Raw genomic sequence first — 16,887 nt, 5'->3', positions numbered from 1 at the left:
AGGGCTCTTACGTAGTTCTCGCCAAAAGTGCGCTGCCCATGTCCATAGGCCTCGATCACCATGTCTGCAGGTTTGGTTTTGCTGACCGCCACTAGCCGGGGCTGGATGGCTGGGAGATCCTGCCAAGAGGGAAAGAGCCATATGAGTGAATGTTTGGGAACAGTACCCCAATGAATCCCATAGGATAGATCCTGTAGGATAGACAGGCATTGATCTCAACTTGGCATTAGGTAAGATCCATTTTTTCAACACTGTAGGCAGATCAATATCAAATAGTGGTGATCATGATCAAATGTTTTTTAGGCGCATGGCATCTCAATCTATGCATCAATGTTAGCGATGTCAATATTCAGCAGAAGAAATGTCTCTCTCAGGAGAGCCGGGCAAGTTAAAGCAGTATTTCCTGTAAGTGTGGTCTTTGACCAACTGCATCGGCATCACCTGGGTGAGAATTTCCTTTTTTTTTGAGACAGAGTTTCACTCTTGTTGCCCAGGCTGGAGTGCAATGGTGCCATCTCGGCTCACCGCAACCTCTGCCTCCTGGGTTCAAGTGATCAAGCAATTCTCCTGCCTCAGCCTCCTGAGTAGCTGGGATTACAGGCATGCATCACCATGCCTGACTAATTCTGTATTTTTAGTAGAGACAGGGTTTCCCCATGTTGGTCAGGCTGGCCTTGAACTCCCGACCTCAGGTGATCTGCCCACTTCGGCCTCCCAAAGTGCTGGGATTACAGGCATGAGCCACTGTGCCCAGCGGAGAATTTCCTTTTTAACAATCTCTCCAGATGACTCTAAGACATACTAATGTTGGAGGCTTAAGAATCACTTCATTAATAGAAGGCTGCACTCTAAGTAAAAGAGAGGTCACTTCTGGCTTCTGAAACCCAAACGTTAGCAGTTTGGCGACTCATTCTAGTCCTGGTGTATCATTACACCATAATAACACTGCCCCATTTACTCTAAAAGTGGCCCACTTAGGTAACTAAGTAATTGATTGTTCAATCTGTGAATTAAGAACCAGTGGCATGGCCAGGTGAGCCACACGCCTGTAATCCCTGCACTGTGGGAGGCCGAGGTGGGTGGATCACCTGAAGTTACGAGTTCGAGACCAGCCTGGCCAAAAGGTGAAACCCCATCTCTATTAAAATACTAAAACTTAGCCAGGTGTGGTGGTGGGCATCTGTAATCCGAGCTACTTGGGAAGCTAAGGCAGGAGAATTGCTTGAATCCGGGAGGTGGAGGTTGCAGTGAGCTGAGGCTGTGCCATTGCACTCCAGCCTGGGTGACAGAGTGAGACTCCGTCTCAAAATAAAACAAAAAACAACAGTCTGGCCAACATAATGAAACCCTGTCTCTACTAAAAATACACAAAAAATTAGCCAGGTGTGGTGGTGTGTGCCTGTAATCCCAGCTACTCAGGAGGCTGAGGCAGGAGAATTGCGTGAACCCGGGAGGTGGAGGTTGCGGTGAGCCAAGATCGTGCCACTGCACTCCAGCCTGGGCGACAGAACGAGACTCTGTCTCAAACAAAACAAAACAAAACAAAACAACACAACAAAAAAAAAAAAAAAAAGAAAGAAAAGAACCAGTGGCAGAACTAAGGCTGCGACACAAAAAATTCTGGATTCAGGATCAGACCTATGTGACATCCTCTCACGACCACTATACAAAGAGCGGGGGTTCTATGCGTTCTGCTGCCACCCAATCCACATAGAAACAGTAAGAGAAGAGATTCGTTTATCCTTGCACGATTTAGTCTTCTTGTATCCATCATCCCCTGAAGTTTTCACAGAATCACAGTGTTCTCAAGGACGTGACGGAGTCAGATCAATTAGAAAAATGTCTCCTCTTCCTTCCTTCCACAGCGATGCGTAACCAGCCTCGTTTGAGTCCAAGTCGTGACTACTGGGAGTATGCTGATGATTGACGCTTTCCAGAGAGTTACCCGAACAGGCAGCCCATCTGCCTGAGAGTTTCCCTGAGAGAACCTCCAAGGTGATGTTTATTAGGGGAAGCCCTAGATTTTTCTTGGAGAATCACCGAGAATCACAGAATATTAACATCAGAAGAGATCTCAGAGCTTTCAGAGCTGAGGGCCGGAATAGTTACCTGACTTGTTCAAGGTAACGTCTAAGGAATAGTCAAAGAAAGACTATAATACAGGTCTTGTCTTCAGCCAGCATAAATGCTCGATCAGAGAAACCTGTGACCTCTCTGTTAAGGTCCGTCTCATTCCACACCATTCAGCTTAAACTTGCACTGAGGTGGGCAGATTTTGATTCTTGGTCTAATCAAAGTCCAAGAGGATGTAATATATATATACACAAAAGACGAAAGCTCCCCTTAACCGGCTTGGGATTGGACTTCTCCCTCCTGCCCCATAAACAAGTGCCGCTCTGATGCCAGCGAAGTCCGGCCAGTCCACCCTCACCTCGGCCTCCGGGCGGCACTGGCATTTCTTGGGCACTTAGCAGGTGAGACGCTGCCACACACGCGATCTCGGGCGTCTCTGGCCTCCGCGGGGTGCTCTTGTACCCCCGTCTCCCCTTACCATCCGTGGGCACAGGCCTGGCCCCCCTCGCATCCGCCAAGGCTATCGACCCCGAAACGACGCGGTGCGCAAGTGGCCACGACACCTAGGCACTAAGTCATTTTCCCGAGGTAGCGGTACCCTCTGCTCCAACGAAGCCAATCTCCAGAAAACCTAACAGACTCAAGGTAAGGAGGCTGGGGAAACCCTTCGCTAGCCTTTCGGTGGCCCTAGGCGGCCGACCAGTCCCGCCTCTCTGGGAGACCCCTCTGCGTCACCGTGACGACCCATTCCCACGCAGGTGTCCCTCTTCTCAAGGCGGCCGCCCACCGTCCCCACGCAGCCTCCTTCCTCACCCGCGGCCGCCGCGCCACAGCCTGCTGCACGCGCTCGTTCACCGCCCGCAATGCGCACCCGACTCCCAGCTCGGCCGACATGCTGCCAGCTCTCCACATCCCCCGGGGACCGACGCCGAGCCCCAGGCCCCCGGCAGCCCGTGGCTCACACCATCTTCCGGTTCCGCCCAGCTTGCGCCGTGTGAACCAATCATTGCTCATCATTGAGTCGTCTCACCCAATCAACACCCGTGCAGCGTGGAGGCCCGCCCCCAGGCGGCGGCCATCTTGGGGAGGTCACCCGCGAACCTGGAAATGGAGCCTAGGGGCTGAGGTTTTGCGCGCCTGGTTCCAAGGGCCACTCCCCGTGTGCTCTCCTCTTTCCTGCGCCTCAGCCGCTGCCGTCCCCCCACCCCCAAGGGACTTTTGTGAGGCAGAAACGCATCCTATACTCGGGGGATCCTGTTTCCTTTCAAAACGCCTTTCCAGGCTTGCCCGTTCCCGGCTTTCTGGGCGCGGGGACCAGAATTAGAAGCCACTGGGGCGGGAGCCAGGGCTTTTCTCTGTCAGATGGTTCTTGCGAGGAACCCCTAAGCGATACGAAAGGAAACTCTTCTTTCTTCTTTTCCCTAAAGACATGGCGTGATTCAAACGTATCGTGATTTTTGTCATCTTTCAGACCACTGCTGTCCAAGAGAAATATAACGCCATCCAACTGTGTAATTTGGAAGTTTCTCATAGGCACATAAGCTTAAAAATTTTAATGATATACTTTATTTAATCCAATATATCCAAAGTAAGATTTCAACATGCAATCAATAGAAAAACTAAATGCGATATTTTAATTCTTTTGAAAATCGTATGTGTTTCTGAAACCCGGTGTAGTGTTGACTTGCATATGTCTCAATTCGGGCCATCCCTATTTCGAGAGGTTAGCGGCCACCTGCGGCCAGTGCTGTCTCATCAGGGGACACAGGCAGCATGATTATTACTATTATTATTATTGAGACAGTCTCGCTCTGTCACCCAGGCTGGAGTGCGGTGGCCCGATCTGGGCTCACTGCAACCTCCACCTCCCGGGTTCAAGCGATTCTCCTGCCTCAGCCTCCCCAGTAGCTGGGACTACAGGTGCGAGCCACCGCGCCCAGCCCACAGGCAGCTTTAGATGGTCTAGCAGGAGCTCAGCACATTCAGTTAGATTCTTTTTTTGAGATGGGGTCTCGCTATGTTGCCCAGATTATCTGGGACTCGTGGGCCCAAGCAATCCTCCCACCTCCGCCTCACAGAATAGCTGGGACTACAAACGGGCACCACAACGCCCTGAGTTTGATTCTTGAGTCCCCTTCTGTGGGCAATATGGTTATAAACTTGATGAGGAGCCAGGCCATACAAATAATAATACAGAATGCTACATAGTCAGGTGGTGAAATAGTAGGTGCTACGGGCAAGGAGAAGGAGATCAATTTTGTTAAGGAAAGCACTCTTGGCTGCAATTTCTGTTGAAAGTTTCTCAAACATTAATTCAACTTAATGAAGTGGGATGCTATTATATTAGAGAAATGGCTAATGTTTGTTCTTCAGGTGGTCTTGTCTTGAGGTGATGGGGTTTATTAGAGCTTTCCGGAAAGAAGGGGCAATATTCTTACTCTCTCCTCTCACAGTTTTTCCCCAGACTCCCAGGAACAGAGATGGAATTTCACATCTTCTGCTCTGGGAAAGTCACATTAGGCAGAACCTCAGATCCTTAAAATAAGGGACTTCTTTTTGGGAAGTCTCTGGTCATTTACCCTGGTACACATTAACTGGGTTATCTGCAAACTAGGACTGCCAACATTAGGAGTAATTGTGTTCAGATAAAATGTCTCTAGACTTGATACATCTGTACTCCAACCAAAATGATAAAAAAATTTAAAATGACCAGAATGGCCCTTTGTGGTGTGAGCATAATAGATGCTTGCTGTAGAGACACAGGTGGGAAGGAGCGAGCCAGCAGTGAGTGATGGGGAGGACAGAGGGGATCATGGTGATGGGATGTGTAGAGGAAGGATTGGGTGAGATGAAACACTTCAAATAATGTGCTATTTGGAAAACATTTTAAAACCATAAATACCTCACAGATCTAGGGAATGTATAATCCAGGTGTTACGTCACTATGACAACAAGTAGTTGTAGCTTCATTTACTAGATTGGGCCTCTATTCTTTTTTGTGTTTTTTGAGACGAAGTCTTGCTCTGTCACTCAAGCTGGAGTGCAGTGACGCGATCTCGGCTCACTGCAACCTCTGCCTCCTGGGTGCAAGTGATTCTCCTGCCTGAGCCTCCCGAGTAGCTGGGACTACAGGCGTGCATCACCACGCCCGCCTAATTTTTGTATTTTTAGTACAGATGGGGTTTCACTATGTTAGCCAGGTTGGTCTCGAACTCCTGACCTTGTGATCCACCCGCCTCGGCCTCCCAAAGTGCTGGGATTACAGTCGTGGGCCACCGTGCCCAGCCAGGGACCTCTATTCTTTGAACTACAAGGCAAGGTCATCCTCCCACCCCCTTATCCATTCAGTGAACATTTACTGAGGCGTTACTCTGTAAAGAACCCTGAGAGAGACCAGGCTGAGTAAGACAGGCTTTACTGCCGATTTACTTCCAATATGCTCGCTTTTCATCTCTGACATTCTGTGGTCTTATGAAAATGGAAATGGAGACAAAAAGATCATGGTGCCCCCAGTCCCATGGTCATTTCACATTCCAATTTCTTCTTAGTTGTACTTTTGAATTAATTTTATTTCACTTTGTCCCTTTTTTTCCTTATTTGCTTTTTTAATTTCTTCTCTTCCTCTTCCTGGGACATCAACCATCCAATTTAACCTTTCATCCTCCCCTACTACCTAATCCTTGAAAAATACAAGTCCAAAATCATTTCATCACCAGTAATTGTCTTTAAATTGCTCCAATAATTTGCAAGGACCAAGGGGAAAAGAGAAAGATTAAAAAGCCAAATGCCCAGAGAAACAGATTTTATAAATAATCTAAAATCTAGTATACTTATTCACCATCAATGCCATCAAGCTTTTAAAACACCCTCATAGTCTGGAATAAATCCAAATTATGAGAAAAACATATATGGATTTAAAAATTGTTTCCTTCTGAGCCTACTGTGAGTCTTTTAGGGGGATAAAAAAGTAAAAAGTAAAATAGAAAATTACTGTTGCCTGGTTACTTAGCTCTAAAGAGAAACGGAGAAATAATGCCCATGTCCCATCCCAGTTTAAATGAATTCAGGTAGAGTAGCCCATGACAGCAAGCCCTTGGCACACATGCCATCACATCTGGCCTTTGAAATGTCTATAGAGATAGTAGAACCCTAGACCTAGGGAAGACTTAGGGAGGTTTCATACAGAAAGAATGACATTTAAACCATCCCAAACAGCACAGAGTCTTCACAATTTCTGAAGACCATCAGAGAAGAATATTTATTTTCTATTTGCAAGTAACTACTCCTCCCCATTTGAAAATTTAGCAAGCCTGATCTTAAGTAAATTCTTTACAAATCCTCCTTTATTCAAGTGAATTTCCTCTTTTTAGCTACCAGTATGTAACTTTTATAATCGTGAAGTCATTAAATGTCCCTTCTGCCTTTTCTGGCATCAACCTATGAGCTTTATTTCTTAATTACTTTTTTTTTCTTTTTGGTTTTAACATTTTCTTTCTAGCTTCTTCAAATTTTTTTCATTTTTAAAATTGGAGACCAGAACTGGACAGTTCCTCTCAACAGGGCCAAATCAGATTCTTTTCTTTTTTTTGGAGATAGAGTTTTGCTCTTGTTGCCCAGGCTGGAGTGCAGTGGCGTGATTTTGGCTCACTGCATCCTCTACCTCCCAGGTTCAAGTGATTCTCCTGCCTTAGCCTCCCAAGTAGCTGGGATTTCAGGCATGCACCACCATGCCCGGTTAATTTTCTATTTTTAGTCGAGATGGGGTTTCTCTATGTTGGTCAGGCTGGTCTTGAACTCCCGACCTCAGGTGATCCACCCACCTCAGCCTCCCAAAGTGCTAGGATTACAGGTGTGAACCACCGTGCCTGGCTTCTTTTCTTTTCTTTTCTTTCTTTAAACCAGGTTATTTTCTACACAACATTTTTGTAGAGGTATGTATCCTCAATACTGTGTTTGCTGCATTGCAATGTCATTCCCTTCTTCTATGTGCTATCCCATTTGTAATCTTATTCCATTTTTTTTCACGTGTTTGGCTTTCTACTTAGTGGCTCCCATTTAATAGCTGTATGTTTTTTAGCCCGTTTCTCCAGATTGAAGTTTTTGAATACATACATGCAAGGTACAGTGTGAAAGCCCTTCGTATGCATTATTTCATATAAGCCATGCAACTCATTTTATTAATGAAGAAACTGAGGCTTAGAGAGGTCAAAAAACTTATTCAAGACCACACACCTAAGAAGTAGTAGAGCAGTGATTTGAACTTTGGCAGTCTAACTGCAGTAACTACACTCTTAACATAACTATTCAATTGTTAAGATCATATTATTTGTGTAGCAGGCTCTCAAACCAATAGAAAAAGCTTGGGATCCCTGTTAAAAAAAACCTGAGAAAGCCTGGGCTAGGGTTGCCGGACTTAACAAGTAAAAATACAGGATACCCAGTTAAATATGAATTACACATAAGCAACAAATACTTTGGTATGAGTATGTCTCATGCAGTGTTTAGGACACATAGTACTTAGACTAAAAATTGTACATTGTTGAAATTCATATTTAACTAGGTATCTTATGTTTTATCTGGCAACCCTAAGCTGGGCAGCTTTCCAGAGTAAAGACTGGGAGTTCGTCCACTGAACTGATATCAAAATGAATTTTGGTTCACTTGAAAATATCTTTGTCCTTTGGAGCAGAATTGCAGTGGTGTGTGAACTGTTTAAAATGATAAATCTCTATAGCACCTACCAAGAATTATGCCACGTTCACAAATTCTGTATCGATAATGGGGATAGATTTTCATCTGTTTATTTTTAGAGAGATCTTGTACTTAACTCACTAGTCTGGGATGTTTTATTTATGTCACCTAATATTAACTATTGCTAAATTTCACTTTAATAAAAAAGTAGATACAAAGACTCATTTTACTTAGCAAGACTGCAAATAAAACTAAGACATAAATTCACATGTTAGTATTGTCCAAAACAATTCCTCCAGCTATCAACCCACGGCAATCAATCCAGCAGTATCATTTATAGAATGATTACTAAAACAAGAATCATTTCTCAGTTACAAATGGGGTCATTAAGCCCTTGGGGCTCTTTGAAAGTAGAAGTAGTTTGCCTACTTAATCATCAGTCTACACAAAGGCAGAAATAAAAAGGAATGGAAATACAAACACAAAATGATTGGTTATTACCTGTTTTATAAGGAAACAAGAAAAAAAAAACAGTGGCTAGAAACAACAAAAAAGCAGTGGCTGGAACCCTACTGAATAGAGCTTAAAGAAGTACTGGTTACATTCACAGACACAGTAGCCACTAGCCAAGATATAGTTTATCTCCATCAAACTTAAATAGATAAAGTCAGTAAGTATGACCATCTTACTTTCACTATTTACGCTCTTTAAATAGTAAAGGTATCGGTTTGAAAGATACATAGAACCATAGGAACAGTGAATGATCATTTATAAAACAGCTCCTTTTCCTGAATCAATATATTGCTAAAATTCTTTCAGTAACCCTCCCTTTTTATATGATCACAGATCCCTCCACATCTATTTTATTTTAGTTATATAAAAATTATTAATAAACTTTGGTTTCCTTGCATTCGGTCCTTATATTTTAAAAAGTGATTAAAAACAGTACTGAATATGAATCACTTCTGCAAAGTTTAATGAGTGAGAAACATTCAACCAAGGTGATTTTTCCTTGGAAAACCCTACAAAAACTGAATTTTATAAACAGTTACTTATTTTGATAGATGTTCCATTTATAAATAGCAGCCATTACTTCACTGTCTACAAAATTGCAGGCTGTCACATTTTACATGTTTAGAATTCAAATGTTTTAAGATTAGATTTTCTAGTAAGAGTTAAAATAAAAACAAAGTTACACAGACAGGTTAGTTGTCCTATGCAAATAAAACAGCTGATTTTCATGATTTTGCTATTTAGACAGATAAGAGACAACCATTGGATTGACACTAATGTGTAGGATAACATATTTTTTGTTTAAAGAGGAAATGATAGAAACTTGGGGTGGGGCAGCTGCAGCAGGACTTGACTCTACTGAGGCTCTTCTGTGCTCATGGGACAAGCTATCGCAGGATGTTAGTACCGGAGAGGCCCTCAAGTTAAGACCTGAGCAAAGTGTGCTATTCAGAGAAGCTGAGCTATCCCTGCTCCCGGTTCTACTGTGGTGAATTGGTGTTTTCTGAGGTCTAGGCAACAAGAGCTCAGAGTAGAAGGAGTAGACATTTTCGGGAAGTGGGATGCTGGGCATGTCATGTTGCTCTAACAAGTGATTAATAGCACGGAAATGGGAGGAAGATGAATGTATTTTAAATGGATACTCCCTATGCTAGTCTTGGGAAATGACCTTCTTTTCTTGAGACGGAGCCTTGCTCTATTGCCCAAGCTAGAGTGGGATGGCATGATCTTGGCTCACTGCAACCTCTGCCTCCCGAGTTCAAGCAATTCTCCTGCCTCAGCCTCCCAAGTAGCTGGGATTACAGGTGCCTGACACCATGCCCGGCTAATATTTCTATTTTTCGTAGAGATGGGGTTTCGCATGTTGGCCAGGGTGGTCTCGAACTCCTAACCTCAGGTGATCCGCCTGCCTTGGCCTCCCAAAGTGCTGGGATTACAGGTGTGAGCCACCGCGCCCGGCCAAGGGAAATGACCACCTTCTGAAAGGACTCTGGAGCACATTAAAATCCATCACTCCCAGGCACATTTTGTTGCCTGCAAAAAGTGTGCCCAGGACCAGAAGTCCCAGGAGTCAGAACAGAGAAGGGCAACTTTGAAGTAAGGGGAGCTAACACTGTATCTTTCTAGGCAGGCTCAATGCTCCCAAAACTTCTGAGCAAGCTGGCCCAAGCTCTGGGACCATTCCTTAAACCAGAAGTCTGGGCATGGGCCCAAAAAGAAGGCAGGGATTGCTGCCAGAAAGGACCATTCACAGATTCACCTAGGGAAGATGGGTATAGGAGTTGGCGGGGGGGGGGGGTGGGGGGTGGGGGGTGGGGGTCAGCTCATAACAGGGCCAAGTCCTAAGCCAGAGGTGGTCATGGAGGGCACCAATATGCTTGCAAGTTAACTCCAGATAGCTGCCCTCCACTTAATTCTAGACACAACCCATGGGCTATACAGGTTGGACACCCCCTACCCCTCAATCTCAGGATATAAGAAAAACCTTTTGTTCAAATTTGCTCTCCCCATCCTGAATCTCCCAAGGTGACTCAAAATGTTCTGACCTAGTAATGAAAAAGAAAACCCTTTGAATGGATTTTGGCACAGCCATTCCAACCTGGGGACTTGGGCATGAACTCTGATTTGCTCCACACAGCTGTCTCTGGAGACTGAATGTTCAGCCTGACTTGCGTTGCTGCCTGCAGCCCTGGATTTAAAAACACAGGCTACTTAGTGAATAGAGTCCTTTTATCACTAAGTCAGACCCACTCCCAGCACAAGCCACAGGCATTAAGACCAGGACATCTCTTGACTGATCGTTCCTCCTCCTCCACACATGGTGTCAGACCTCTTCACTACAGAATCTCTACAATAATAGAAAGACACTTCATCTCGAGGTGCACACATAACCTGTCAGGCAGGTCCTGCAGTGGCTAAGAGATAACAAGGATCCCACTCCAGCAGCTGTTAAGACACTTGAGTTGTTTGTCCCTGTCTTCTTGATGCTGAGTGGAACCAATGAACAGAATTTTTGAGAAGAAAAAAAAAAAACAAATCACAGCATAGGTGAAAAGATGCCGAAATAATTGAGTTGTGGTGATCAAGCTCTGACTCTAGAAATGTAGTCAGAAACCACCACTCTGAGCCCTAGGGCAAGGAGCAAAGTGTATACAAAATCTTGCAAAACCTAGCACCAGTACTTCCTTATGAGGGCTCAAGAAAGCACACCTCTAAAATAACTCACACACATGCAGACAAGAATGCCAGGAAGGTCAAATGTTCTCTGCAGCTGTTTCTTCACAGCTCTACTGGCAAACTCACAGGCACATATTTGCTCAGTTGCTGAGCCTCACCCACAGACATCTCCTACCTTGGAGGCAGAGGTGAGAACACTGGACTGCATTTTCCCAAGTAAGGGAAATCAAATGAGTTGGAGGTAACACTCTACATTTCTCCCTCTCCTTAATGACAGCATCCCTAATTAAGCCAGCCTCAAAGGATAAAATTAGTGTCTAGAGGTCAAAGGTCAAGCCCATGATTTACAAATCTTATTGGAAGTCATATAAACTGCTTACCTGAAATAAAACCCCCCATCATCAGTCCCCACCCTCCTTTCCCTAGAAAGGGAGTGGATTTAAGTTCATTTCTTCTTTTTCACCACAGTAACTGGAAGACAGTCAGAGAAGGTAGTCGGGGAGGGAGGAACATTCTGATTCATCTTAAAAAATAAAGATCTGCTTAAGTATCATTTGCAGTCATATCAAGTTTTTTTCAATTCTCCTTAGTGGCCGTCTCCAAGGGTTCATCTTCTAAGCCAAAGCTTAGCTTGTCAGCTAGCCCCTCAAACTGCTTGCTCACACTGCCCGCAGAGTCCATGAACATGTTAGGAATGTCTTTGCCAAAGTAAATCTTGCTGTTGGAAGCAATGGCCTTGTACTTCATCAGCTGCAGATATTCAGGGGTTAGCTTCAGCTGTTAAAAAAAAAAAAAGTATGGAAGACTTATGTTGAACCATATTAGAGAAGGAGGGGAGTGGTGCCCCTTCAATTTTCCTATATTTATGCCCCTACCTACTTTTTGTGGTCTCATTGTTACATTTCTGTAAGAGACAGTCATCTCAGATCTTGGAGCATAGGTGCAAAAGTTAAAAGTTTCCATGTTTAACACAAAATTAAACTAAACTTCTATCAAGGCATGTCCAAGGAGAAGGAAAGTACCTGCACCACACAGCAAAGGCATCCTCAGTTCTGCCCATGAAGGGCTTTGGGTGGTGGCAGGCGCTCAACACTGGAAACTCTCCTGCAATACAGACCCAGACCCAAAGACTCCTTTTTATCAGGCTGTGCGGGGTCTTTACCTTATTGGCTTCGGCTATTTTCATAGCAGTGTAGCACTCAGCATCTGCCTTTGCCTTCTCCCGGGCCAGAAATGCAGCATCTGAGGGGGAAGGAGTGCAGTGAACTTGGTGAAGTGCTAAAACTGAGTTCTTTGCAGGAAGTGCAGAGGCTATGGGAAGACTCTGTTCTGGTCCCTGGAACTTCGCCCCTGATTGCCTCTGTGACTTGGGGCAGACTGCTTTTTCCTCTGTGTTTTACATGCATTTTCCCCTATTGTACAAGTTGTTGTAAGGATCAACTAAGATGAAAAAGTGTTTTGAAAGCATCTCCCTATGACAAGGACAGCAAGTCTGTGGCTATGGCCCAAACATACATGTTGACAGCACTATGGAAGAAAGCACTGTTAGCCAGAAGCGCTTCCTGTCTTACTTCTTTTGGAGATCCATGTCTGTGTAGCACAGCAGTGGGACCCTGCCTCAAGCTCTAGGCCAGAGCTCTCCACTCCTCCCTCTTGTGCTACATAGCAAAAGCAGGAAAGCTCAAAGGTGGCTCTAAGTACGGTCAGAGGTCGATCCACCCTAAAACTGAATGCCACGAACATAACATAGTTCAGTCCCTCTCCAACTTCAATTCCCTTTTATTTCCATCAATCATTTCAAAAAGGTCCTAATTAACAGTGATTAAGCTGGCGCGATTCTGAGAGAGAATTACACGCCATGGTCCAGACCAACACGTGTTTGGATTAAGACCTATTTAATTCCTCTATGCAAGTCATATTCTTCCCTAATCAGCTCTGAGACTAGCTTTCTGTCAAGCTGATAGAAAATTTTTGATATTTACCTCCTTGTCTTGGGAACGGGCCAGCCTCATGTGAGTAATATATGTAGCAACATGCCTGGGAGAAAGGTTAGTCTGTGGGTGGGTTTTCACTGAGTGCCCTCAGTGTGACCCCGCGTGGAAGGAACCTGCAGTCCAGCCAGGGTTCTGGCTGCTGTGGGGCCCCCTCAGCTGGCCTGAGCACTTGATGACATGTATTTGTGAGAAATAAAAACGTGTTGCTTTGCTAAGAGCTCCCTAATGAGGAGCCACTGATCTGTGAAATCCTAACTGGCTCCTCTATGGGCCCCTGCAAAGCCTGACAGGCCCAATAATGAGTATAATTAGACATAACACTTTGTAGCCTGAAGCTGGGCCTTGAGGTCCCAGTTGTGCCTTGGAATTTGCTTGAAATAAGCCACCCCAAGAAGTAAGAGGTGGGCAGTGGGAAGGAGGTGCAGGCTTAGAAGCAGGAACAGAAGGTGAATGATATTCAGAAAAGCCAGCAAAGAAAACCTTTCTCTCCAGCTCCTGTCTGACAGGTGCTGAAAATCTGTCTTCTTCAAACCTGGCTTAATATCTGCATAGACCTGGAGAACAGACTTTGAGCCCAAAACCGTGGCACTGACCAACTTTGGAGCAGAAGTAGCTAAGGCAAGGGGGAGAGCCAACTGCTGAGAGTACACTCCCACCGCTCCAAGGCCCTGCTAGCCTGGGAACTCCAAGAAAGCAGGGTCTACGGGACTTCCTTTTTCTCATGCCTAACAAAATCCTGGGCACATACTGGCACTCCAGCCACATTTGCTGAATGAACAAATGCTCTCTGAAGTAGAAAACAGATGCTAGCCTGGCCACAATAGCCTCAAAACTCAAGTCTCCACATGGAGAAAAGCTGCTGTTGCACAGAGATCATGACATCCTTGAGCACAGTTAAAGGGCAAAGGCAATGGCTCCCCAACCCACTGGCCACAGGGCGGGGTCTGAGGAGGACTCAGGCATGACTGCCACTTCTGCTTACCTTCAATTTCTGAAATCTTCTTCTCAGTCTCCTTCTCCATCACCTTCTGCCCGTAGGTGATCTCAGCCACCTGGGCCACTTTTTCTGCCTCTGAATAAATGATAGTGAGGATTACGGTTCTGGCATTTCAGAGTTTGACTAATTTCACCTTTCACCCGAGCTGAGTGTCCTGGTGGGCCAGCTTGTCTGGAGAGCCCCCAGAGGGCAGCTGTGAGTGCACACAAGGGCAGAGTGGGATATGCCAGTGAGCACAGTCCCCTTCCATCAGTGTGAGACAGTAACCAAGGAGACCTGGGCCCAACATAGGAAGCATGAGCCCTAACTTCACAAGGGAACTTCTCCCAAAGGAATATTCTGTAAGAATGAAGTACTCTAGTAGGGTTCTACCTGGCCCTTCACTGTAGACAGGGGTCAGGTTAGTTGTTGATAATACGGTGCAGTGACTTAGAACATAGCTTCTAGAGCCAGTGTCCTTGGTTTGAACCCCAGTTCCACCCCTTACTTGCCATATGCCCTTGGGCATGGTATTTTACCCCTCTGTGCTTTGGTTCGATAAAATGAGGTTAAGGATAATACAGTACCTACCTCCACAGTGGTTGTGAGGGTTGACTTAACCCACATATTAAGTGGTTAGAAAAGTATGTGGCTCACAGTAATTGCTTAATTAAGTATTAGCCATTATTATTAAGAATTAACAGGCTGGGCACGGTGGCTCACGTCTGTAATCCCAGCACTTTGGGAGGCTGAGGTGGGCAGATCATGAGGTCAAGTGTTCGAGGCCAGCTTGGCCAACATGGTGACACCCCATCTCTACTAAAAATACAAAAATTAGCCAGGCGTGCCGGCACCCGCTGTAATCCCAGCTACTCAGGAGGCTGAGACAGGAGAATCACTTGAACCTGAGGCAGAGGCTGCAGTAAGCTGAGATCGTGCCACTGCATTCTAGCCTGGGTGACAGAGCAAGACTCCGTCTCAAAAGAAAAAAAAAAGAAAGAATTAACAGGTGGGGCTTCTTTCATTTAAGAGTTAAGTGGAAACTCAAAAAACTCATTATCCTTGGCCATGATCTGACAATTTCAACTTTGTTTCTGGGAGTCCACCTGCCACTCCTGTGCTGTGGAAGTGGTTTGGAGGACCATGGGGTCTCACCAGGCCTTAGCCTCCTTGCATCTTCCCACCACCCCCAGCCTTTCTGCCTGGAAAGGGGGATCACAGAACCACATTCAGACCAATGAGCGCCTTCTTCCGCTCTGTCTCTGCTTCCTTTTCCACCACCTTCTGTTTCTGGGCGGCAATGAGAAGCTTTGTCTTCTCACTTTCCCTGAAGAGAAGAAAAAGCCGTGAGGCAGCTATGGAAAACTCAGGAGCTTCACTATCCCCAGGTAAGTCGAATTCTTCTGCTGAAGAGAGGCAAACTCCCATTTCCTACTCCTCCTGGAAGGCTGTTCGATGGCCCAGGTAAAAGCTGATCTGTTGTTGACAGTAACATAGCTCTTCTCCTCCCAAGTAACTCATTTGTGGGAAATAAAACATAATTTAGTAAAATACACCTGCCTGTCCACTTACTGGTCTCTTGCTCCTGTCTCCACCTTGGGCATGAGTCACTGAACACAAACAAGGCCCCCTGGCCCTTTTCAAAACATCGCTGCTCTACAGGGATTATCCTGGGGTTCTCAATCACAGGTAGGGAGCCCCAGTGGTGGCCCTGACACGCCTGCCCAATCTTACAGTGCAATGGGCTGTAGCAAATCCTCCAGCAAGGGGATAACCGAGAAGCCTGGCAGCTTTGGTTACCTCTGGGATGGGACGAGGTGGGAGGTGGGAGGCAGTGGTGGTCACAGCCCAGGCGGAGGGTATACTCACATCAACTCGTAGTTTCTGCGGATTGCCTCTGGTATGTTGGGCTTTGTTACCCGCACAGCCTGGAGAGAGATTAAAACAGCAGCTGATGGGAAAGTGAGGGTAGTGAGGGACACACCCAGCTCCCACTGGGCCTTGATCTTCCTGCACAAAAAGGACATCCCTTGGGAGAAGGGAAGCAGTGTCAGAGAGAGAGGGGCTGCTCCCATGCAGCAATGCTTACTTGAATGACCAGCCCAGGGGCCATGGAGGTCAGGTCCTGTTGCAAAGCCAGTTTGAGATTTTCATCAATCTGATCTGGAATAAAGAAAAGATGGAGAAAAAGGAGTTGTTACACTTTCTAGATGAGGGAGGGCAGGATGAGGTAAAGTGCAAGCTCAATCACCAGCTCAAGAATGTACTTTCCCAAGGGAGTGTGCTTATCAAAGCCCACAAATCTAAAGATCCCCTGCCCAACTTCTGAAGCAGCCTGTGCAGGCAGCCCTCTACATGGTGAACGCAAGGGCATTTTCTTTCTGTGCCTCAAGATAAAACTCAACCTTTGTTCTGAAAATACTAACCATGCCCTACAGGGGGTGAGAGCTTAAAAAGAAAAAAAAGGAAGAACAAACAATTCTAGCACATTTCTTGCGTGAGGCAGCAGCCTTTCCCTAGACAATAGCAGCAAAAGAGAAGGAAGGTTCACAGTTTCCAAGAAGAAGGAAGGTGGAATGGCTATTTAGGTTTTGTGGAAAGAGCTGAGCACATTAAATCTAGTAATTTTAGAAGTTTCTAAAAGAAAAACAGACTTTGACGTCAAGGAGAGCCCCAAGGAAGACTGTTTCTATTAGGAACTCCATCAAACAACACAAAGGGAAAATTAAAATTTACAGTTCTGGAAGCGAGCCCCAGGCTTTTGATGTGCTGTTTGCTTTGGTCCTGATTTCTTTGTCTGGAATCCACATGAGTTGTTTCACAGACAAATGTAGGAACAGCTGTAACTGACTCTCCCCCCACCTTCCTTTCCAGCTGCAATCTCAGAACAGCAGTACCAAAGCTGACTTCTCTGGCATGGGCTTCTCAGGTTTTAGAATCCTCTTCCTTGCCTTCTGCCCATGA

At 45.6% G+C, this 16,887-nt stretch overlaps 2 protein-coding genes and 1 long non-coding RNA gene across 10 annotated transcripts in view, besides 6 other annotated features; 1 reads left to right on the top strand and 2 right to left on the bottom strand.

Moving 5' to 3' along the window:
* Positions 1–3,099, bottom strand: part of PLPBP (pyridoxal phosphate binding protein) — a 17,223-nt gene extending 14,124 nt beyond the window's left edge. For 3 of the 5 annotated variants that reach the window (NM_001349346.2, NM_007198.4, NM_001349347.2), the window contains exons 1-2: positions 2,887–3,000; positions 12–119 (exon numbers count right to left, since the gene is read on the bottom strand). In NM_001349346.2, coding sequence (NP_001336275.1) covers positions 12–119; positions 2,887–2,985 — 207 coding nt within the window. In that variant the 5' untranslated portion in view covers positions 2,986–3,000. Of the gene's footprint in view, positions 1–11; positions 120–2,886 lie in introns of all 5 variants that reach the window. The other 2 variants (NM_001349349.1, NM_001349348.2) reach the window with 2 other exon arrangements.
* Positions 2,381–7,984, top strand: LOC124901934 (uncharacterized). The gene is made up of 2 exons (XR_007060889.1): positions 2,381–2,718; positions 2,832–7,984. It is a non-coding gene; the product is annotated as an uncharacterized LOC124901934 (long non-coding RNA).
* Positions 2,572–2,631: an enhancer, noted in NCBI's record as "active region_27231". NCBI's record gives its function as "activates an Ori minimal core promoter by ATAC-STARR-seq in GM12878 lymphoblastoid cells {active_cell/tissue: GM12878}" and the evidence as "EXISTENCE:reporter gene assay evidence [ECO:0000049][PMID:35858748]".
* Positions 2,812–3,271: an enhancer, noted in NCBI's record as "active region_27230". NCBI's record gives its function as "activates an Ori minimal core promoter by ATAC-STARR-seq in GM12878 lymphoblastoid cells {active_cell/tissue: GM12878}" and the evidence as "EXISTENCE:reporter gene assay evidence [ECO:0000049][PMID:35858748]".
* Positions 2,812–3,312: a biological region, named in NCBI's record as "Sharpr-MPRA regulatory region 13802".
* Positions 2,940–3,234: an enhancer, noted in NCBI's record as "tiled region #13802; HepG2 Activating DNase unmatched - State 1:Tss, and K562 Activating DNase unmatched - State 1:Tss". NCBI's record gives its function as "activates a minimal TATA promoter and a strong SV40 promoter by Sharpr-MPRA in HepG2 and K562 cells {active_cell/tissue: HepG2 | K562}" and the evidence as "EXISTENCE:reporter gene assay evidence [ECO:0000049][PMID:27701403]".
* Positions 2,992–3,312: a silencer, noted in NCBI's record as "fragment chr8:37619851-37620171 (GRCh37/hg19 assembly coordinates)". NCBI's record gives its function as "represses an EF-1alpha promoter that drives an FKBP-Casp9 reporter gene in an ReSE screen in phorbol 12-myristate 13-acetate-treated (for megakaryocytic differentiation) K562 erythroleukemia cells {active_cell/tissue: K562(+PMA)}" and the evidence as "EXISTENCE:reporter gene assay evidence [ECO:0000049][PMID:32094911]".
* Positions 3,372–3,451: an enhancer, noted in NCBI's record as "active region_27229". NCBI's record gives its function as "activates an Ori minimal core promoter by ATAC-STARR-seq in GM12878 lymphoblastoid cells {active_cell/tissue: GM12878}" and the evidence as "EXISTENCE:reporter gene assay evidence [ECO:0000049][PMID:35858748]".
* ERLIN2 (ER lipid raft associated 2) overlaps positions 7,223–16,887 on the bottom strand; it is a 21,789-nt gene continuing 12,124 nt past the window's right edge. For all 4 annotated transcript variants that reach the window (XM_047421307.1, NM_001362878.2, NM_007175.8 and 1 more), the window contains 6 exons: positions 16,013–16,086; positions 15,793–15,851; positions 15,159–15,250; positions 13,930–14,019; positions 12,116–12,195; positions 7,223–11,730 (listed from right to left, as the gene is read on the bottom strand). In XM_047421307.1, coding sequence (XP_047277263.1) covers positions 11,530–11,730; positions 12,116–12,195; positions 13,930–14,019; positions 15,159–15,250; positions 15,793–15,851; positions 16,013–16,086 — 596 coding nt within the window. In that variant the 3' untranslated portion in view covers positions 7,223–11,529. The remainder of the gene's footprint in view (positions 11,731–12,115; positions 12,196–13,929; positions 14,020–15,158; positions 15,251–15,792; positions 15,852–16,012; positions 16,087–16,887) is intronic.

Source organism: Homo sapiens, chromosome 8 (genome assembly GCF_000001405.40).
Source record: "Homo sapiens chromosome 8, GRCh38.p14 Primary Assembly".
NCBI lineage: Eukaryota > Metazoa > Chordata > Mammalia > Primates > Hominidae > Homo > Homo sapiens.
Note: the sequence above shows the minus strand (reverse complement) of the source record. Positions and strands in the feature narration are given on the sequence as shown.